The 19,722-nt window shown below is 54.7% G+C and overlaps 2 protein-coding genes across 10 annotated transcripts in view, besides 10 other annotated features; one reads left to right on the top strand and one right to left on the bottom strand.

Moving 5' to 3' along the window:
- Nucleotides 839-1,676: an enhancer, noted in NCBI's record as "H3K27ac-H3K4me1 hESC enhancer chr22:41939835-41940672 (GRCh37/hg19 assembly coordinates)". NCBI's record gives its function as "activates a minimal SCP1, AML or CMV promoter by ChIP-STARR-seq in primed H9 embryonic stem cells {active_cell/tissue: H9 hESC(primed)}" and the evidence as "EXISTENCE:reporter gene assay evidence [ECO:0000049][PMID:30033119]".
- Nucleotides 847-946: a silencer, noted in NCBI's record as "silent region_13793". NCBI's record gives its function as "represses an Ori minimal core promoter by ATAC-STARR-seq in GM12878 lymphoblastoid cells {active_cell/tissue: GM12878}" and the evidence as "EXISTENCE:reporter gene assay evidence [ECO:0000049][PMID:35858748]".
- On the top strand, nucleotides 901-19,708 carry POLR3H (RNA polymerase III subunit H). Of its 9 annotated transcripts, none has more exons than NM_001282884.2 (7): nucleotides 901-996; nucleotides 1,386-1,516; nucleotides 4,712-4,808; nucleotides 12,762-12,848; nucleotides 13,350-13,413; nucleotides 14,619-14,820; nucleotides 16,171-19,708. In NM_001282884.2, exons 2-7 carry the CDS (start codon nucleotides 1,406-1,408, stop codon nucleotides 16,222-16,224), a joined length of 615 nt encoding a protein of 204 aa, NP_001269813.1. In that variant the 5' UTR covers nucleotides 901-996; nucleotides 1,386-1,405; the 3' UTR covers nucleotides 16,225-19,708. The 9 variants fall into 9 exon arrangements, with proteins under 9 accessions (NP_001269813.1, NP_001269814.1, NP_612211.1 ...); NM_001282885.2 differs by lacking the exon at nucleotides 901-996 and adding an exon at nucleotides 1,037-1,072; NM_138338.5 differs by lacking the exon at nucleotides 901-996 and adding an exon at nucleotides 1,037-1,079.
- Nucleotides 1,137-1,266: a silencer, noted in NCBI's record as "silent region_13792". NCBI's record gives its function as "represses an Ori minimal core promoter by ATAC-STARR-seq in GM12878 lymphoblastoid cells {active_cell/tissue: GM12878}" and the evidence as "EXISTENCE:reporter gene assay evidence [ECO:0000049][PMID:35858748]".
- Nucleotides 1,317-1,406: an enhancer, noted in NCBI's record as "active region_19121". NCBI's record gives its function as "activates an Ori minimal core promoter by ATAC-STARR-seq in GM12878 lymphoblastoid cells {active_cell/tissue: GM12878}" and the evidence as "EXISTENCE:reporter gene assay evidence [ECO:0000049][PMID:35858748]".
- Nucleotides 1,417-1,516: an enhancer, noted in NCBI's record as "active region_19120". NCBI's record gives its function as "activates an Ori minimal core promoter by ATAC-STARR-seq in GM12878 lymphoblastoid cells {active_cell/tissue: GM12878}" and the evidence as "EXISTENCE:reporter gene assay evidence [ECO:0000049][PMID:35858748]".
- Nucleotides 10,808-11,102: a silencer, noted in NCBI's record as "tiled region #5669; K562 Repressive DNase matched - State 14:Gen5'". NCBI's record gives its function as "represses a minimal TATA promoter and a strong SV40 promoter by Sharpr-MPRA in K562 cells {active_cell/tissue: K562}" and the evidence as "EXISTENCE:reporter gene assay evidence [ECO:0000049][PMID:27701403]".
- Nucleotides 11,989-12,797: an enhancer, noted in NCBI's record as "H3K27ac-H3K4me1 hESC enhancer chr22:41928714-41929522 (GRCh37/hg19 assembly coordinates)". NCBI's record gives its function as "activates a minimal SCP1, AML or CMV promoter by ChIP-STARR-seq in naive H9 embryonic stem cells {active_cell/tissue: H9 hESC(naive)}" and the evidence as "EXISTENCE:reporter gene assay evidence [ECO:0000049][PMID:30033119]".
- Nucleotides 12,147-12,196: an enhancer, noted in NCBI's record as "active region_19119". NCBI's record gives its function as "activates an Ori minimal core promoter by ATAC-STARR-seq in GM12878 lymphoblastoid cells {active_cell/tissue: GM12878}" and the evidence as "EXISTENCE:reporter gene assay evidence [ECO:0000049][PMID:35858748]".
- Nucleotides 12,798-13,606: an enhancer, noted in NCBI's record as "H3K27ac-H3K4me1 hESC enhancer chr22:41927905-41928713 (GRCh37/hg19 assembly coordinates)". NCBI's record gives its function as "activates a minimal SCP1, AML or CMV promoter by ChIP-STARR-seq in naive H9 embryonic stem cells {active_cell/tissue: H9 hESC(naive)}" and the evidence as "EXISTENCE:reporter gene assay evidence [ECO:0000049][PMID:30033119]".
- Nucleotides 16,533-19,722, bottom strand: part of ACO2 (aconitase 2) — a 59,858-nt gene continuing 56,668 nt past the window's right edge. Inside the window, exons 15-18 of the mRNA NM_001098.3 lie at nucleotides 19,054-19,245; nucleotides 18,087-18,219; nucleotides 17,485-17,606; nucleotides 16,533-17,028 (exon numbers count right to left, since the gene is read on the bottom strand). Coding sequence (NP_001089.1) covers nucleotides 16,894-17,028; nucleotides 17,485-17,606; nucleotides 18,087-18,219; nucleotides 19,054-19,245 — 582 coding nt within the window. The 3' untranslated portion in view covers nucleotides 16,533-16,893. The remainder of the gene's footprint in view (nucleotides 17,029-17,484; nucleotides 17,607-18,086; nucleotides 18,220-19,053; nucleotides 19,246-19,722) is intronic.
- Nucleotides 19,006-19,220: a silencer, noted in NCBI's record as "fragment chr22:41922291-41922505 (GRCh37/hg19 assembly coordinates)". NCBI's record gives its function as "represses an EF-1alpha promoter that drives an FKBP-Casp9 reporter gene in an ReSE screen in HepG2 liver carcinoma cells {active_cell/tissue: HepG2}" and the evidence as "EXISTENCE:reporter gene assay evidence [ECO:0000049][PMID:32094911]".

The raw sequence follows: 19,722 nt of genomic DNA, 5'->3' as shown, positions 1-19,722 counted from the left end.
TACCACTTGTCAACACGTGATCTTGGGTAAGCTACCAAATTCTCTTAGCCCATGCTATCACGTGAAGATGAATGAGACTGGAATGTCAGCGAGACAGAGCATGATGGGGCTATAGGAGGGGGGTATGGTCAGATCTTGCAGGGCCGTGTGAACTACCATAAAGGTTTTGGACTTTTCTTCTTTCTTTCTTCTTTTCTTTCTTCTTTCCCTTTTCTTTCTTCTTTCTTCTTCTTCTTCTCCTTCTTCTTTCTTCTTCTTCCGCCTCTCCTTCTTCTTCTTTTTCGTTTAGACATGAGGTGTCACTGTCACCCATGCTAGAGTGCAGCATGCAACCTCAAACTGCAACCTCAAACTCCTGGACTCAAGCGATGCTGCTGTCTCAGGCTTCTGAGTAGGTGGGACTACGGGTGTACACCACCACGCCCGGCTTGGATCTAGTATTCTAAGTTCAATGGGTTGTGTTTTTTGTTCCAATTTATTATAACTTTTCAATTGGAACATAATGTCTACAAATAAATGCAAAAATCTTGCCGAGTTCAATTAGTTTGGACAATTATATACGTCAATGTTATACCACCGAAAACAAAATACAGAACATTTCCATCATCTCAGAACAGTCCCAAGTGCCCCTTTCCTGCTAATTCTCCTTGTCTCCGGAACACTTAAGGGTGCTAAGCATGTTATGTTTGCGGTGGGTTTTTTTTTTAACTTAGATGTGGTAATATATGTTTGCGTTTCCAAAGGATCACTCTGGCTGCCGAGCAGAGGACAGCAATGCGGGTAAAGCACAGGCCAGGCGAGGGATAATCAGGCGGGATTGCACGGAGGTCGCCTAGCAACAGAAAGCGCTGTCGGGGGCGGGGGAACCGCTCTGCTCCTGTGAAAGGAGGAGGCCCCGCCCTCTCCTCGCCCTCTCTCTGCCCCACGCTGTGCGCGAGCACACAGGCAGCCCCGCCCCGCCTCGGCGGGGTGGGGGTGGACAGAGGTTTCTTATTGGTGAGTTTTCCGGAAGCGATGGATTCGGAATCTCGCCCGCAGTCGCGCAAGCGCGAGCGGCTGTGCGCGGTGCGTGGTGCGTGGTGCGTGATACGAGCGGCGGCACGTGGCGCGGGTGCGGGGCGTGGAGTGGCGTGGCGTGGAGTGGCGTGGCGTGGCGGGGTCTCGCGGCGCGGGCGCGCACCCGGAGCTGTGGACGGAGAGTGCCTCCCTCTGGCCTCAGTTTCCTCATGTTGTAGTAGCGGAGCATGGCCCGGACCGGGCCCCCGAGACCGCCCCGTGCAACCTCACCGCCAGCCTGGGGGCCTCAGCGACTGGGACGGGACCAAGGGGCTCGGGGATTCTCCCTGCCCCCGGCCCTGGTGCGTGACTGACCCTCCTGTTCCCAGAGCCCCCAGCGCAGGCCGGGATGTTCGTCCTGGTGGAAATGGTGGACACCGTCCGGATCCCCCCTTGGCAGTTTGAGAGGAAGCTCAACGACTCCATTGCCGAGGAGCTGAACAAGAAGTTGGCCAACAAGGTACTGGGCCCACGGCTCGCGGGCAGGCCTTGGCGTGGGAGAGCGAGCGCCGCCCACTGGCCGCAGGCCCGGCCTCGGTCATGCCAAGCCCTGGCCGTGGGCAAGCAGCTTAATGTCTCAGAACTTTTCTTCACCGTGAAAGGAGATATTGAAGGGGATCAAAAGAAAATGGGCTTGAAAAAGGGAGTTGTAACTGGAAGTGTTAGATTCCACAATTCTAAATTACTTTGCAATTGCAGGCAAGTTACTGACCCCTTCTGGGCCTCAGTTTCCATTTTTAAAATGGGGATAAAATATTGCTGTCCTTCCAGCCATGCATTGTTTTTGTTGTTGTTGTTGTTTGTTTTGTTTTGTTTTGTTTTTTGTTTTTGAGACGGAGTCTTGCTCTTTCGTCCAGGCTGGAGTGCAGTGGCGCGATCTCGGCTCACTGCAACCTCCGCCTCCCGGGTTCAAGCGATTCTCCTGCCCCAGCCTCCCGAGTAGCTGGGACAACTACAGGCGCGCGCCACCACCCCCAGCTAATTTTTGTATTTTTCGTAGAGACGGGGTTTCACCATTTTGGCCAGGATGGTCTCGATCTCTTGATCCCCCCGCCTCGGCCTCCCAAAGTGCTGGGATTACAGGTGTGCGCCATCGCCTCGGGTCAATGCATTGTTTTCGTGAAGATGGAGAGTTCTAGTAGTACAGAATTAACTGTCAGGAGGTTCATCCCTTCATTCCAGCAGCCAATATTTGTGCGCCTTCTCTGTGCTGTGCCTGTGTGCCTTAGTACCAGCTGAGAGGTCTTCCCACTGCCGTTTCTTTGACAGTCCTCCCTTTCCAGGTATTCTGTGTCACATCACTCTCTTTCCTTCTTAGACTTTTTCCTTTCCCTCTCCTTGAGAGCAGGGACCTTATCTGCCTTCTTCCCTGAAGTATCCCCTCATTTAGCCAAAGCCTGGCGGGAGTAGATGTCCCATAATTTTCTGTTTTGTGTTTGTGTGTGTGAGACAAGAGTGCCGCTCTTGTCGCCCAGGCTGGGGTGCAATGAAGCGATCTTGGCTCACTGCAACCTCCACCTCCCAGGTTCAAGCTATTCTTCTGCTTCAGCCTCCTGAGTAGCTGGGATTACAGGCACCTGCCACCACACCTGGCTAATTTTTGTACTTTTAGTAGAGACGGGGTTTCACCATGTTGGCCAGGCTGGTCTCAAACTTCTGACCTCAGGTGATCTGCCTGCCTCAGCCTCCCAAAGTGCTGGAATTACAGGTGTGAGCCACCGTGCCCGGCCATTTGTTGACTGAATGAATGAAACAGAGACAAGGCTCTGTGCTATAGTGTGGTGGGAAAGCAGATATGAATGAGAAGGGTCCACAGTTGAGTGTTTGGTGACAAATTGAGGTAAATGTTATGAGGGACAGGTGTTCACACACCTGTGGAACAAAGGAACGTCCCCTGGAATGAGGGGACCTGCAGCTTTGTTGAGGAGGTGGGGTTGAAGGTGAGATCTGATGGTGAAGTGGAGCCAACCAGAGGATTCCTTTCTAGGGTGGGAGGGGGCTGGGTGGAGAGAAGAGCCCTGAAGGCAGGAACTGGCATGTGCAAAGGCCCTGTGAAGAAGGAATACAGGCCGGGCGTGGGGGCTCACACCTGTAATCCCACCACTTTGGGAGGCTGAGGCGGGTGGATCACCCAAGGTCAGGAGTTTGAGACCAGCCTGTCCAACATGGTGAAGCCCCATGTCTACTAAAAATACAAAAAATAGCTGGGCATGGTGGCAGGCACCTGTAATCCCGGCTACTTGGGAGGCAGAGGGAGAAGAATCACTTGAACCCAGGAGGCAGAGGTTGCAGTGAGCTGAAATCGCACCACTGCCTTCCAGCCTGGGTGACAAGAGTGAAACTTCGCTTCAAAAAAAAAAGAAGAAGGGGTAAAATACCCACCATGGTGTGGAAGAGGCTGGTGTGGCTTGGGCAGAGGGGAGGGTGGGCTGGACAGGTGGGTGGGGGCCAGGCCACACAGCCCTGTAGGATGTCGGAGTTGAGGTATTGGTCTTTATCCGTGGAGCATCAGAAGGTGATGGGCTGAGAAGGAGCCAGAAAGAGGATGCTTAGCTGGCTTTACGCATGAGACAGGTCCCTTCAGAAGAGGTGAGGTTGATTTGGGGGTTGCTAGATAGTGAAGGGAACTCATGGAGTCTTTAAGTGGATGGCTTCTGGTTACTTTGTGAGGTTGAAGATGAGGGTCTGTTGGGGGATGGAGGTGTGGACCTTGAGAGAGAAGGTGTGGAAAGTCCAAGAAGGGAATATAGTCCCTTTGGGGTAGAGGTCCTGTTGGGACAAGTCTTCTAGTATTTGATTAGATGAATCGTTTGAGAGGGGGCCCACACAGAAATCCATGGTCTGACAAAGGGCACAGATCTTGTGGCATTATCTTGGTGAGGTCTGGCCACGACTCTGAGTTCTCTGAGCTTCTTGCTAATTCTTGGACAGTTCTTGCAAGGGTTCTAAGTGGGGGTGATGACACGGTGGCAGATAAGGAGACACTGAGTAGCCAGTCGTTTGAACCACAGTGGTGTGGGGTGAGGGCATGGGATTTCTGCACATTCTTGGGGCCTAGGTCTTGTGTCCCTCTGCCAGCTGCAGTCCCTGTGGCTGCGTCTGTGTGTCTGAGATGTTGTGAGCACAGTGGGGTTTAGCTGTGGCTGTGACGCTCACTAAACTGTGAGCTCTGGCATTGGCTTTGGGATGTCGGAGAGTGCACGTTTAGGCAGCATTCCTGTCACTGGTCCTCACTAGTAATAACAAAGATCCTTGATGATGATGGTTTCCAATACACGAGCCAGGTACAAGGCTAGGGGCTTCACATCTGTTATCTCTCTTTATTTTATAACTCTGCAGCCTGGTATTTCACATTTGCAGATGGGGAGACCGAGGCTCAGAGAGGTGAAGTGACCCTCTTGGCAGTCACACAGTGGGTGGTGGAGCTGGCCTTGGAACCTGGACCTGTTTTGTCACCCGAGGCCCTGCTCCTTCCAGAGCTCTGCATCCTTCTGAGGTTCCTTACCCTGGTCCCCTCCACAAACTCATTTTCACCTAAAAAAGGAGATAATCATGGCTTGCTTGTGGTTGTGAGGGGCTCAGATTGCCTGGGAGCTGGGCCTGTGGTCACTCTGTATCCATGTGTACTTGTGTGTCTGTGTTTGTATGCATGCAGGTCGTGTACAACGTGGGACTCTGCATTTGTCTGTTTGATATCACCAAACTGGAGGATGCCTATGTATTCCCTGGGGATGGCGCATCACACACCAAAGGTGGGTATCTTCTGTCCCTGGGGCATTGGGCTTCTTGGGGCTCAGTTTTCTGTAGCCAAAGGTCAAGCCAAATCCAGGTTCAGTGGTGCGTGCCTGTAAGGCTGAGGGCGGAAGGATCTCTTGAGCCACAGAGTTCAAGGCCAGCCTGGGCAACATAGCAAGACCCTGTCTTTAAATACATAAATAAAATATGAAAAAATTTTAAAAGGCTAAAGTCAAAGAGATGGCCAGAGGGTGGTGGGAGTCCTGGAGGCTGGGAGACGTGGGGCCTCATCCTGAATCGGCCAGGAATTGACCCGGTGACAGCGGCAGACTTCTCTTCTCTGGGCCTCTGTTCCCTCATCTGTGAGGCCTGGGATGTGGACTAGTTGGTTTTCAAGGCCTCTTCAGCTCTGACTTCATAGCTCTGTGTCTGTGCCCTTTTGGTCTCATTGCTACTGAGCCCTGCACCTTGTCCATTCCTCGGGCTTCCCGCTGCCTGTGGAGAGCAGACGGAAGGGGGATCAGCAGGCTGGCTGGGGGTGGGGGACTTGGATAGTAGGACACAGTAGGTAAGAGTGTGGCCTCAAGATTAAAAGCTGAGCTCTGCTTCTTACTAGCTGTGTGTCCTGGCTGAATATGTCATTGCTCTGTGCCTCTGCTTCCTTATCTGTCAGTTGCAGTTCAGGATGTCAACTGCAGTTTAGGATAGATTTTATATTCTAAGACCATTGTGAGGATTAAGGAGTTAATACATGAAAGCTCTTAGGACAGAGCCTTGGCACCTAACGAGCACTCAGTGACTTATCAGCGTGGATTGTTTCTCCCTATTCTGTCGGTCAGTTGGGTGGTTTTCCTCTCATCTGGCTGGCCTGGGGCTGGACAATCTAGGACGGTCTCACATTCTGAAGGTTGGCAGACTGGTTGGTTACTGGGGGCCTGGGCTGGGCTGGCCCATCTCTGCCCCACATGGTCTCATCTTTCAGTAGGCCAGGCTGGGCTTGGCGGTTTTAAGGTTCCAAAGTTCAGTGCGTAAGTACTTCTCAAGCCTCTGCTTCCATCCCGTTGGCTAGGGTGAGGGGATGGAGAAATAGACTTCACCTCTGGGTGGGAGAAACTGCAGTCACATTGCAAAAGGGTGTGCATCCAGGAATGGAAGGTGATCACCAGATCCTGGAAGGAGGGAGGAGTAGAGAGAGGACCACCCTGAGAGGAGCCAGGACCACCAGTCAAGGGAGGTGATGAGCCCCAGGAGAGGGGCATTCTTCATTCTCATGTCTGGACCAAACCAGTGTATAGGAGATGGTGAGAGGCCCATTGAGACGGTTCAGGCTCCCAGAGCGCAGGCGCCAAGCCTGCCATCCCTTGGGCACTCAGAGCGCAATTCTCAGCCTGCCCCAGGCCTCCCTCCGCCTGAGTCAGAATCTTGGGGGATGGGTCCAAATACTTTTTTTTTTTTTTAAGACAGAGTCTTGCTCTGTTGCCCAGGTTGGAGTGCAGAAGTGTGATCTTGGCTCACTGCAACCTCCACCTCCCAGCATCAAGCAATTCTCCTGCCTCAGCCTCCCGAGTAGCTGGGATTATAGGCACGTGCCACCACGCCTGGCTAATTTTTGTATTTTTAGTAGAGGGGGTTTCACCATGTTGGTCAGAATGGTCTCGAACGCCTGACCTCGTGATCCGCCCACCTCGGCCTCCCAAAGTGCTGGGATTACAGGCGTGAGCCACTGCCCCCAGCCCCAAAGACTGTTTTAACAAGGTACCAGGTGGTTGTCACACGAGCTCATGTTGGATAAGCCCTGCTGTAGTCCATACTGGTCAGCCTCTCAGCACAGAGATGCCAGAACATTCCAGAGTATGCTGTGAGACTGCCTAGTGTCTGTGTCCAGCCATTCAGGGAATTAATTAGTTCGCATGGATGTTACCATGGTACGCCGAGAGGCCGAAGAAACAGGCTGTCTTTGTACAGACTAGGAGCATTTTCATTAGCAGAGAAATAAGATTGCAGTGTGAAAACAACCACGAGGGCCTCTGTTTACAGAGAAGGATGCCGAGCTGAGCCCAGTCTCCGCATTTGGACAGGGGCCTTGGTTGTCCAGGAGACAAGTGGTAATAGGTACTAGAACTTCCAGAAAAACTTGGAGAAAAAAGTCAAGTTGCGGCCGGGTGTGGTGGCTCACGCTTGTAATCCCAGAACTTTGGGAGGTAAAGGCGGGTGCATCACCTGAGGTCAGGAGTTCTAGACCAGCCTGGCCAACATGGCAAAACCTCATCTCTACTAAAACTACAAAAAAAGCCAGGCACGATGGCTCACTTCTGTAATCCCAGCACTTTGGGAGGCCGAGGCGGGCAGATCATGAGGTCAGGAGATCTCCTGGCTAACACGGTGAAACCCTGTCTCTACTAAAAATACAAAACATTAGCCAGGTGTGGCGGCAGGCACCTGTAGTCCCAGCTACTCAGGAGGCTGAGGCAGGAGAATGGAGTGAACCCAGGAGGCGGAGCTTGCAGTGAACCGAGATCGCACCACTGCACTCCAGCCTGGGCAACAGAGTGAAACTCCGTCTCAAAAAAAAAAAAAAAAAAATTATTTGGGTGTGGTGGCACATGTCTGTAATCCCAGCTACTCCGGAGGCTGAGGCAGGAGAATCGCTTGAACCCAGGAGGCAGAGGTTGCAGTGAGCTGAGATTGTGCCACTGCACTCCACCCTAGGCGACAGGGTGAGACTGTATCTCAAAAAAAAAAAAAAAAAATTAGCCAGGTCTGGTGGTGTACACACCTGTAATCTCAGCTCCCTGGGAGGTGGAGGTGGAGGCAGGAGAATCGCTTGAACCCAGGAGGCCAAGAACACGCCGCTGCACTCCAGCTGGGTGACAGAGAGAGACCCCGTCTCAAAAAAAAAAAGTTGGAGGAAATTCTGTCTATTCAATTGGAAGATTTCTACTGCTGGCTTTTATTAGCCCCCACCCTCATCTGTCCTGAGTCTCTGTTTTCTTGGGAACCAGGTGGGAGGCATGGAGTGATCACAAGGACCTAGATTTGAATTAATTCTGGCTCTGGTCTCCTGGATGGGGACCTTGGGCGGGTACCTCTGCTTCTCTCGGCCTTGGTTTCCTCCTCTGTACAATGGGGTTAACCCTGCAGCTATAAAAGTCCTGTTGAGCACCATGCAGGGTGAACTGTGATTTTGTGGTGGGAACCAATTGCCATGCTTTGAGGCTGATGCCTGACCCCAGGCCCTGTTCCCACTGCTCCCTCTCCTGCAACCCCACAGCCTCACTCAGGGCTGTCACTGAGCCAGTGCTGAAGGGCTCAGCACCAGGTCATGCTGTGCCTTCACCTTTGCTCAGAGGAATATTTATTTGCCTGGGCCTTGGGAGCAGTTGCTTGACCTCTCTGAAACTCGGTTTCCCTATCTGTGCACACAGTATAATAACAGTAATAGAGCCTTCCTCCTTCATCAAATATCTGTGAGGAGTCAACGAGCAAGTCTGAGTGAAGCTGTGGTCTAGCGCCCCGCACGTGGGGAGTGCTCACAGATGATGGCCTTTGTGGCATGGGACCCTGACCCCCACTGGCCAAGTTTATCCCTCGACATTTGGTGCCAGCCCGTGTTCCCCACATCCTCCAAGCCTGGGACCTGCTGTACCCTGCCCCCGCCTGCCCCATACTGATCGGGGGCCCTGCTCTCAGTCTAGAGCAGCGCTCCTTTGTGACCACCTTTAGTTATTTATTTTTTAACATTTTTAAATGTTATATTGATTTGCAAATCGGGCAGCCTCCTCAGCTAGAGTTGGTGCAGAGACACCCCCCACCTTTTTTTTTTTAAAGCCTTTTTTTTTTTTTTTTTTTGAGACAGAGTCTTCTCTGTCACCCAGGCTGGAGTGCAGTGGCACCATCTTGGCTCACTGCAACCTCTCTGCCTCCCGGGTTGAAGCCATTCTCCTGTCTCAGCTTCCCGAGTAGCTGAGATTACAGGTGCCCACCACCACGCCTGGCTAATTTTTGTATTTTTAGTAGAAATGGGGTTTTGCCATGTTGGCCAGAATAGTCTTGAACTCCTGACCTCAGGCGATCCGCCCGCCTTGGCCTCCCAAAGTGCTGGGATTATAGGCATGAGCCACTGCGCCTGGCCTTTTTTTTTTTTTTAAACCTTTTTTGACATGTTTATCATTTATTTCATTTTTTTCTATTGTGGTAAAATATACATAACATGAAATTTACCAATTTAAACATTTTAAGTGTGTAAGTCAGTGGCATTAGGCACATTCATATTCTTATGCAACCTTCACCGCCATCCACCTCCAGAACTTTCATTTTTTTTAAGATGGAGTCTCGCTCTGTCGCCCAGGCTGGAGTGCAGTGGCGTGATCTCGGCTCACTGCAAGCTCCGCCGCCCGGGTTCACGCCATTCTCCTGCCTCAGCCTCCCGAGTAGCTGGGACTACAGGTGCCCGCCACCACGCCCGGCTAATTTTTTTTTGTATCTTTAGTTGAGACGGGGTTTCATCATGTTAGCCAGGATGGTCTCGATCTCCTGACCTCGTGATCCGCCCGCCTTGGGCTCCCAAAGTGCTGGGATTACAGGCGTGAGCCACCGCGCCCGGCCCACCTCCAGAACTTTTTCACGGGGCAGATATGGTGGCTCATGCCTGTAGTCCCAGCACTTTGGGAGTCTGAGGCGGGCGGATCACGAGGTCAGGAGTTCGAGACCAGCCTGGGCAACATGCTAAAACCCTGTCTCTAAAAAATGCAAGAGTTTTACTCTGTCGCCCACGCTGCAGTGCAGTGGTGCAGTCTCGGCTCACTGCAACCTCTGCCTCCCGGGTTCAAGCAATTCTGCCTCAGCCTCCCGAGTAGCTGGGATTACAGGCATGCACCACCATGCTCGGCTAATTTTGTATTTTTAGTAGAGATGGGGTTTCTCCATGTTGATCAGGCTTGTCCTGAACTCCCGACCTCAGGGGATCATCCTGCCTTGGCCTCCCAAAGTGCTGGGATTACAGGCGTGAGCCACAGCGCCCGGCCTGCTCAGCTAATAATTTTTGTATTTTTAGTAGAGACTGGGTTTTGCCATGTTGGCCAGGCTGGTCTCAAACTCCTGGCTTCAAGTGATCCGCCCGCCTCGGCCTCCCAAAGTTCTGGGATTACAGGCGTGAGCCACTGCGCCCAGCTTCCTTCCTCTTCTTGATGGTCCTTTAGACTCATCCTTTCTGACTTTCCAGGCATCCCCTCTGCAGGCTACACATCCCTAGACCTCCAGGTGGGGCTCTTGTGAGATGAACTGCAGATCCAGCACTCTCCTGGCTGACCAGCCTGTTGCTCTGTGTCCTTCTGTTTTTTCACTGAGATATAATTCACATACCACAAAATTCACCCTTTCAAAGCATACAATTTAGTGGCTTTGTATATTAAGAGTTGTGCAACCATCACCACTATCTTTTTTTTTTAATTACATTATCACCATTTTGCAACTCCTTATGAAGACAGATCTCATCAATGATCATTAACTTTTTAGCTTCCCCCAAAGAGAGACAAACAAGCATTATATAGTTCCTGGTGGAAGAACTCAACACCGATTATGAGGCAGTTCTGTTGCTAAACGCTAGGAGTTGAATCTGTTAAAAATTCTAGATGCAAGTTCCAGTTTGGAGGAACTATAGGAATGGAGGAATACAGTGACTGGCACCACAGGCCTCCAGGGGTTATGGTAAGTAGGCAGATATGAGCAGGGCAGGAGAGGGCCCCCTCCCACCAGGAACAACACCCTCATCAGCTAAGCCATCACCACTATCTAATTCCACAATTTTTTTTTTTTTTTTTTTTTGACAGAGTTTCACTCTTGTTGCCCAGGCTGGAGTGCAATGGCGCAGTCTCAGCTCACTGTAACCTCTGCCTCCTGGTTTCAAGCAATTCTCATGCCTCAGCCTCCCAAGTAGCTGGGATTATAGGCACCCAATACCACGCCTGGCTAATTTTTGTATTTTTTTAGTAGAGACGGGGTTTCACTATGTCGGCCAGGATGGTCTTGAACTGCTGACCTCAGGTGATCCGCCCGCCTCGACCTCCCAAAGTGCTGGGATTACAGACTTGAGCCACCGTGCGCGGGGCCATTCCACAGCGTTTTTATCACCCTACAAAGAAACCCCGCCCAGTAGCAGTCACTGCTAATCCTGTCCTTCACCCAGCCTCTGGCAGCCACTTAACTGCTTTCTGTCTCTATGGATGTGGTTCTGGACACTGTACATGAATGGAGTCGCACACTGTGTGGCTTTTGTGTCTGGCTGCTTTCACTTGGCCCCATGTGAAGGTTCAGCCCGAGGTTGAGCCACACTGTAGTGCATGTCAGAATTCCTTCCTTTGTAAGGCTGCATAATATTCCATTGTGTGTCTCCAGCATGTTTTGTTTACTCATCCATCCATGGGGGACTCCGGGTGCCCAGCATTTGCTTTTGGATGTGGTTGTTCCAGCCTGGGGCTCCCTGGGCGCAGGATCATGTGCTGTCCCACCCCCGTGAGCCCAGTGCCCAGACTGGGCCTGGCACAAACCTGGTGCAGGCTCTGTGAAGTTTTTTTTTTTTTTGAGACGGAGTCTTGCTCTGTTGCCCAGGCTGGAGCGCAGTGGCATGATCTTGGCGTACTGCAACCTCCACCTCCTGGTTCAAGTGATTCTCCTGCCTCAGCCTCCTGAGTGGCTGGGATCATAGGCACCTGGTACCACACCCGGCTAATTTTTGTATTTTGGTAGAGACGGTGTTTTATCATGTTGGCCAGGCTGGTCTCAAACTCCTGACCTCAGGTGATCTGCCCACCTCGGCCTCCCAAAGTGCCGAGATTACAGACTTGAGCCACCCCGCCCGGCCTCTGTGAGGATTTATTAAACCAAACTGAATGTTGGGCCATGTGGGGGACAGGGTTTTTCCATCTGTGCGTAAGTGGCCCTTGGCCGCCCTCATCTGCTCTCTGGGAGGTCAGCACAAGGCCCAGTCATCTTCATGGTGGCTGTGATGGCTCACGTTTGTGTCTTCCCAGGGTGAGAGGTCCATCGGCTGCCTCTCCTCATGCCCTGCTGATGCCAGGGTCCCTGCCGTCCTGGGGGGCATGTTGGCCGACTAAATGGTTGACGGCATCGTGGAAGCCTGTGTTTGGGATTAAACCTGTCTGAGGAAGGCAAGATTCGACCCGGTGGCCCTGTCTGGTGGGTACAGAAAGACCAGGTGTCTCCCCATGGCTATGTGGCTGTGAGTGGGTCACCCTGGCTCTGAGCCACTGCCTTATCCTCACGGTGGGAACTCTGTTGGTAACCAGCAGGGGGCAGCCGCGTGCTGATTCTCAGGTCAGCGTTGGACTCCTACTTTGGGGCTTCGAGCAAGGGCCTGAGTGACAAGGTGACATACAGCTAATGCCAGGGCCTGGGGTCAGAGTGTGCGATGTGGGCACAGACCCCACCTGGTGTTTTCCTTGCAGTCAGGTGAGTGGGGACCACCTGCAGCATGGCCTGAGAACCCACAGAGGCATTTTTGCTGGGCTGCTGGCCTGCGCCTCACAACACCAGGGCATTTTTAGCCTCCTCTCCAGGTCAGAGCTGTGCCTGGGGCCGACTTTGCTGCTCAGCAGGAGGTGGGAGTTTCCAAACCCTGCGTTCTTTACCAGTTGCTTCTGCCCTTTTTAGGAGCTGAAGGAGAGCCTGGAGGGAGGTTGAAATTGACTTTGGAGCCACTGATGGCTCAGAATCTGGGCTCAGGTGTGAGTAACCTGGCAGTTTTGGGAGTGCCCAGTTACAGGACAGCTGCTGCTGCCCCCCTGTGGGGGCCATGCTGTGAACTTGCAGGAGACAAAGGGAGGGTCTAGGCTTGCAGGGGGATGTGGCATGGAGCAGCCACACAGGCCCCCAGGTGTGCTGGCACCTGAGGGTGACATGGGAGCGCACTGGGGCCCCGGTCAGCATCACTGATGGGCTGTCTTCATTTCCAGTCCATTTTCGCTGCGTGGTGTTTCATCCATTCCTAGATGAGATTCTCATTGGGAAGATCAAAGGCTGCAGCCCAGAAGGAGTGCACGGTAACAGTGGCCCTGACGCCTCAGACAAGACTTGGGAACACTGTGGGGGCAGGAGGTCTGTGTCCACCCACATGGTCAGGGGAGGGCTCAGGTGTCGAGGCCGAACCTTCCCCGTGGTGTCAGAGAAGCTTGCCCACCCTCCCTTTTATGTGTTGTGTGAGGACCTCCATCAGCAGTGCGGTTTCACTGTGAGGCCGTCACTCAGGACTTCAGGGTGGGCACTGAAGCTGGCGGAAGTGACTGGGAGTCTTTAGCGCCCACTGGCCCCTGTTGTGTGCAGAGGTTTTGGGGACTAGGTGCTCCGGGCTTTGCCCAGGGCTGCTCCGCTATGTGGGTGGTGTACGCAGAGGCATTAGGTGGGGAAGGGGCCTAGGTTTCCACAGCGACATCCGCCTCGTGGGCAGCCCCAGGCAGGGCTTGCCTGTCAAGCATAAGACCCCGCAGTGTTTGGCGTCCACTGGGACCCCCATCTCAGGCCGTCACCTGCTTCCTTCCTTCCAGTCTCTCTAGGCTTCTTCGATGACATTCTCATCCCCCCAGAGTCACTGCAGCAGCCAGCCAAGTTGTATCCTCCAAGGGTTAAAGTGGTTTGTCACAGGGAGCTCAGGCCTCTCCAAAGGAAGGTCCCCACTCCTTAGGGTGGCCTTTGGGGCCTGTAACCTGATGTCACTGGCCTCTGTGCCTGCCCCTCGCCTGTGCTTTTGCTCCAGAGGCACCAGCCTGTCTGTGCCTCCCATGCAGGGAGTCATGTGATGCCCACATGCCTGTCTTTGTCGGGGCCATCAGGCTTGGCTGTCTGGGTTGTACACTGCACACCATTAGAGCTGTGGTGTCCTGGGGGACACCATTCACTTCCGGTTCACTTCACTTAGGTTGTCCCTGCAGGAATCATCTTAAAGATCACTTGCCCTGGAGGCATGCACTGGTCCCTGGGACGTGAGGCCTTGCCTGTGTGCCGGGTCGTGGGCTAAGATGTGTTCCTCCTGGGCCTCCGTTGTCCCTGTCCCACCCCTCACCTTGCTGTACTGGGGTTGTCTGTTTCTGTGGGGCTATCCACAAATCTGAGGCTCCTCACTGGGAAGGACTCTGACATGTCACAGCTGTACCCACGGTGCACAGCACGGGACCTGGCACAGAGGCAGGACCCAACAGTGGGACTGCCACCAGAGAACCCATGGCTCCCCTGTGTGGGCTCTGCCAGGGACGATGGAGAGCCAAGGGGGACTGCCCTGGCTGGGTGGCAGCACGGCTCTGGGTCTGCATGTGACTCCAGGATGTGTTAGAAAACCTGGCGCAGCCCGGCTGGTTCTCTCACCACCTGTCATCCAAGTGGGCAGGTGACCTCCCATCCCACTATGTCCTCTTGAAAACGGCAAGTCCTTGGGTGCCCATCAGCCTGTCACAAGGCTTTGATGAAAAGGGTGTGTGGGGCTCCGTGGCAGGAGGCCCAGGTTGCTCTTGTCTTGAGAGGTGGGACTCGGACCCTGTCTCGTCCCCTCCTGCTCTGGTGCTCTGAGATCCATGTGCGTCTGGCCGTGGTGCCTGGCTGGGGACCCCATGTTCCCCTTCCTGGGTCCTGGCCTCCAAGAGCGCTTGTTCCTCTCTGTTTGGCCCAGGCCTTGTGCATGGGGCTGGGACCTGCTTTTCCTGTGACTTCCCAGCCACAGTGATCTCACCCTGAGATTGGTTTTTCCTGCGGGGTCGGGGAGTGGGTGCTGAGGGAAGCCCCTCCCACTATCTGGTTGCTGCCTTGACCCTGGACCCCCTCAGCGACGAAGCGGAGCAGGTGTGGGTGTGGGAGTACGAGACGGAGGAAGGAGCACACGACCTCTACATGGACACCGGCGAGGAGATCCGCTTCCGGGTGGTGGACGAGAGCTTTGTTGACACGTCCCCCACAGGGCCCAGCTCAGCAGATGCCACCACTTCCAGTGAGGAGCTGCCAAAGAAGGAGGCTCCGTACACGCTTGTGGTGAGTGGCTCTGATGGTGCTGAAGCCCCCATGAGGCGGGAGAGCCGGAGTGCAGGGCTGGAAGCTGTGTCCTGGGGCTTCTGCTCTGGGATCTCCCCCAGCAGGTCAGGGATCCTGTTTGGGGGGTCTTGGCTGGTCACTTCTCCCTGGAGAGCCTGAGTTTCTGTAGGCCAGGGCTGTGAGGCAGTAAAGGTACATGGCTGCTGGTGGGGTGGGCGAGTCAGCTTGCAAAGGGGACAGAGCTCACGGTGGACAAGACCACTGATAAAGCGGCTTTGAGGCCAAGTGCAGTGGCTCACATCTATAATCCCAGCACTTTGGGAGGCCAAAGTGGGAGGATCGTGTGAGGCCAGGAGTTTGAGACCAGCCTGGCTAAAAAAGTGAGAAGTTGTCTCTATAAAAAACAATTAGCAGGGCATGGTGGCGTGCCCTGTGGTCCCAGCTACTTGGGAGGCTGAGATGGGAGTATCCCTTAAGCCCAGGAGTTCAAGGTTGTGCCACTGCATTACAGCTTGGGCAACACAATGAAATGCTATCTTTAAAAAATTGGGGGGTAGGGAGGGGTTTGAGGGAGAAAGAAATCAAGGAAGGGGCTTGGGAGAGATCAAAGCCCTGAGATTAAGGGTAGGGCTGCTGGGGCACAGTGGCTCACGCCTGTAATCCCAGCACTTTGGGAGGCCAAGGTGGGCGGATCACGAGGTCAGGAGATTGAGACCATCCTGGCTAACACGGTGAAACCCCATCTCTACTAAAAATACAAAAAATTAGCCGGGTGTGGTGGCGGGCGCCTGTAGTCCCAGCTACTTGGGAGGCTGAGGCAGGAGAATGGTGTGAACCCGGGAGGTGGAGGTTGCAGTGAGCCAAGATCGTGCCACTCCACTCCAGCCCGGGTGACAGTGCGAGACTGTCTCAAAAAAAAAAAACAACAAAAAAAAGGTAGGGCTCCCTGTAGGAGCAGCATTGCAGCAGTGAAATAAAAGGGAGGGCTCCGGGGAAGAGTGGCTTTCAAGGCTGCTCCCTGTTGGATGCGTCTGGAGCATGGGCCTTGTGTTTGCTCAGCCTTCCTGCCACGATTAGAACCTAGGTGGCCCTGGAGGGCAGGCCTAAGGGTGAGGAAGGGTCCCTGACCCTATCAGGGCCTGGAGTCCCTGGAGAAGGGTCTGCGCCCTGCGTGCTGCGTGCCCGTTGGGAGCACTGCTGTGGCTCCCACATCTCTCCAGAGCCTCTTGGCTGCCGTGTGCCCCGCCTCTTCTTTGCCTGTGCTGGGCCTGCTGGGCTCCCTTCACCTCCTGTCCAGGTTGGTTCAAGCCAGCATGTCAGTGAAATGTGCGTGTTCTTTATCCCTGGCAGGGATCCATCAGTGAGCCAGGCCTGGGCCTTCTCTCCTGGTGGACCAGCAACTAGCCCTGGGGCTGGACAGTGGACCCTACCAGCCTGCGGGAAGGTGGTATGGCCGGCTGTGAAGACAACAGCAGCTGAGGCCGATGCTAAGGAGATAGTGTCTCGAGCTGGACAGTGAGGCAAGGCCAGGAGTGCCCACCAGCTTGCCCCGCTCCTCCACCATCTAGGCCCTGCTCCTCCTTCACTGCAGTGATGGATCCATCTGTGGCTGTGGCTGTTGGGCCTCCACTGACCTTGACTGAAAAGACCCTTCCTGGACCCTGGACTTGACAACAAACGGCACAGACACCAATCACTCACAGAACAGTCACTGGTTTTGGATTCTTGTTTTCCTTGCAAGAACAAAAGGTTCTCTAGAATCCTTCAGCCACCAATGAAATGATCAGGCAGGAGAAAAACTTTAGATGGGAGTCTTGTCATCAAAAATAAATACAGTTGCATGGAGCTGCTTAAGATCTGAACCAAACTCAAAATAGGAAGACGGGGGCTAAAAAGTTATTTTAAGAACCCCCCCACCACAACCACAGTCACTCCGTGGGCTAAGCGGGGAGCAGGAAGCATGTCTGGTCACACCATCTTGGAATAGGAAGCCATGGCTGGACGGATCGGATCCACTGATGGCACACGTGGAGCTGAACTTGACGCCAGCGGCGGGGCGGGGAGGCACTGCCCTCACTGTTGCAGTTCCTTCATTCTGTTGAGGGCACTGCCAGCGCGGAACCACTCAATCTGCGTCTCGTTGAAGGTGTGGTTCAGGAGGATGGTCTCCTGGGTCCCGTTGGGGTGCTTGATGATGCACTTCAGGGGCTGCAAGGAGAAGGTGGGTGTGGGTGGAAGTGGTGGGTACTGTGTGCCCTTGGCCCCGCAGGGGGGTCAGGGAGACAGGGCACTGCCTGGGGACCTAAGAGGTCAGCAGGCAAACCAAATCCTAGGCCAGTCTGTGCCTGATGGCCCAGGTCAGACCCAGGTGGCACCTACAGGGGATTCCTGGGGCCCAGAGGGTCCTGCAGTGGGTGGGCTGTCCCCTGAGTGCCAGGTCCTGGTGAGTAAAGGGAGGTTGGGGAGGTGTGAGGGCCCCGGGTTGACTCCAACCCCCAACTCTGAGAAGCCACTTTGCTTTCTCTGTGGGGCCACCTGGAGAACTGGGGGCCTTTCCAGCTGGAATGAAGCCTCCTGGGAGAAGCTACCCTGGGGCCAGTGCAGGAGGGGAAACAAGGTGGCTGCCCCTCACCCCACCACCTCAGGGGGACCCGGGCCCCTAACCTTGCCAGGGGTGAAGTCCTTCAGGCCCTGAATGGTCAGCTTGTCCACAGGGTGAATCTTGTTGTAGTCAGCCGGGTCAGCGAAGGTCAGAGGCAGCAGGCCCTGTTTCTTCAGGTTGGTCTCTGGAAAGCAGGCGGCATTCGGTCATCGGGGGCCTGACTAGCCTGGAGAGCTTCATTTTCTGAACCCATCTGGGGCTCTGGGAGATGCCCCTAATCCTGCTGCCTGGGACAATGCCCGGGCAGTGACTATGGGGCCCTGGTCTGCTCCCTTTCACTAGGGGTGCCCCTAGCAAGTGTGCGCTGGTGCTGAGGTCTGCGAGGCCTTCCTGCTGCACATTCATGATCAGAAAGAACCCCCTGGCACATGTCCTAGATCTCAGCGGCTCAGATCTACAAGCCTGGAAGCAGGGCCTGCGGGAAGCCGGGAAGCTGAGCGTCGGATGTGCACTGTGTGAGCCTAAGAAGGGGCAAGAGGCTGACGGGCCTGTGGGCTGCAGTGGACACAGCCTAGAACCAGGCCCAACTCAGCCACGGGCAGGGAGAGTGACCTTGATCACTAGGGATGGGATGAGGATGGCCTGGGTACAGACTCCAGCTCACCGTGGATCCTGGCAAAGCTCTTGGTGATGATGGCCCGGCCCCCAAGGTGGCGAGGCTCCAGAGCTGCATGCTCCCGGCTCGAGCCCTCGCCGTAGTTCTCGTCTCCGATCACCACCCACCTGATGCCATGTTTCTGTCAGGCAAGCGGGGGTAAGGTTATAAGGCAGAGGAGGGCACCGTCCTCACCTGTCTGGCCCTACCTGCCTGGCCTCACCCACCTGGCGCCTGGGCATCCTGAGGCTCCCGGTAAAGGGGCTGGAGGGGCCCTTCCTCGCCTGCTGCCTAAGGGCAAGTGAAGCCTGCGTGAATGAGACCCAAACGAGGCCCCGAGGGGACAGAGGCACGTGGTTGTTTGCAGTGGCAAAGAAGACAGAAGCCACCCATTGGTGCTTGGCAGAGGCAGGTGTGTGTGGAGGGAGGTTGGGTGAGACAGGGACGGCCTCCGGGCCCCACACAAGATGCATCTGTGAAGCTCAAGGCGCCCCCTTCCTGGGAGCACCCTCTGCCCCACCCAGCCACCAGGGGGTGCCAGAGTCCTTTCACCCGGCTGGGCCAGGACTTGGGTTCAGCCCTGGTTCTGTTTGTTTCTCAAAGCAGAAAAAGTCCAATCACCTCAGACCCTCTCTGCCTGCTCACTGTGAGGCCCCGTGTAGCCCCCTCTCTGAGCTTTTGGCCTCTGACTTCCTGAGTCGGCCCCCTTCCTTGTCTTTGTCTAGGGCCAGATATCCTAAGATATCTCTCACTAACTCCTCCTGGTGCAGGGACCCGGCTGTACCACCGGACCTGGGCCTCATGCCTTCTCAGCCACAGGGAGGGGCTGCAGGCCTCTCCTCCCTTCCACAGCAGTCCCCTTTGGGCTTGGTCGGCCTCCTTCCCAGTTTCCACTCCCCTAATGTCCTCCCTGCACCTGCCTTGCAGGCCCCTTCAGGAGTGACCACTGGCATTGCCCCTATCAACTCTGACCCACCTTGTAGTAGCGGGCAGTGTCAGGGACGGGGCCAAACTCCTGAGTGACGGCATTGCGCACGGAGTTGGCCTTGCCGTTTTCAATGTTGATGGCACCAATGAGCAGGTTGTTGGAGATGTTATCCAAGTGCCCACGGAACTTGAGCCAGGGGCCAGCAGCTGAGATGTGGTCAGTGGTACACTTCCCTTTGACCTTGGGTGGTAAGTAGAGAGGACAGAGGTCAGGGCATGGCCCTGGAGGGGTGGATGACAAGCCCTCCAGAGGCAGGCAGCAGGCCCCGGGGCCCAGGAGGGGTGACAGAGGGGTGAGAGGCAGGCAAGTCTTCAGACACGTGTTCTGTGGTCCTGGTGCTTCCACCCTAAGGCCACATGGGCTCAGGCCAGGCCTTCATCCCCTCAAAGGCCTCTGGCTGCTCAGTCTCCCTTATGGGGCAGAGGCCGCCCAAAGTTGGGACAGGTCAATGTTCGCTCACCCTTCAGGCCTCAGCTGCAAGATCAGCCACAGACCTCATGCTGGACACAGGAGCCCAGGACATGCCTGGGTCCTGGCTGATGACTGATTAGTCTCTTCTGTCACAGGGGTGCCTGGAGACCCCTTAATAAGCAGCATAAATAAATATCTGACACAGATTGGAGGCCTCTGGCCACACCAAAAAGGCTTGTTTTTGGT

This window comes from Homo sapiens, chromosome 22, assembly GCF_000001405.40.
Source record: "Homo sapiens chromosome 22, GRCh38.p14 Primary Assembly".
Lineage (NCBI taxonomy): Eukaryota > Metazoa > Chordata > Mammalia > Primates > Hominidae > Homo > Homo sapiens.
Note: the sequence above shows the minus strand (reverse complement) of the source record. Positions and strands in the feature narration are given on the sequence as shown.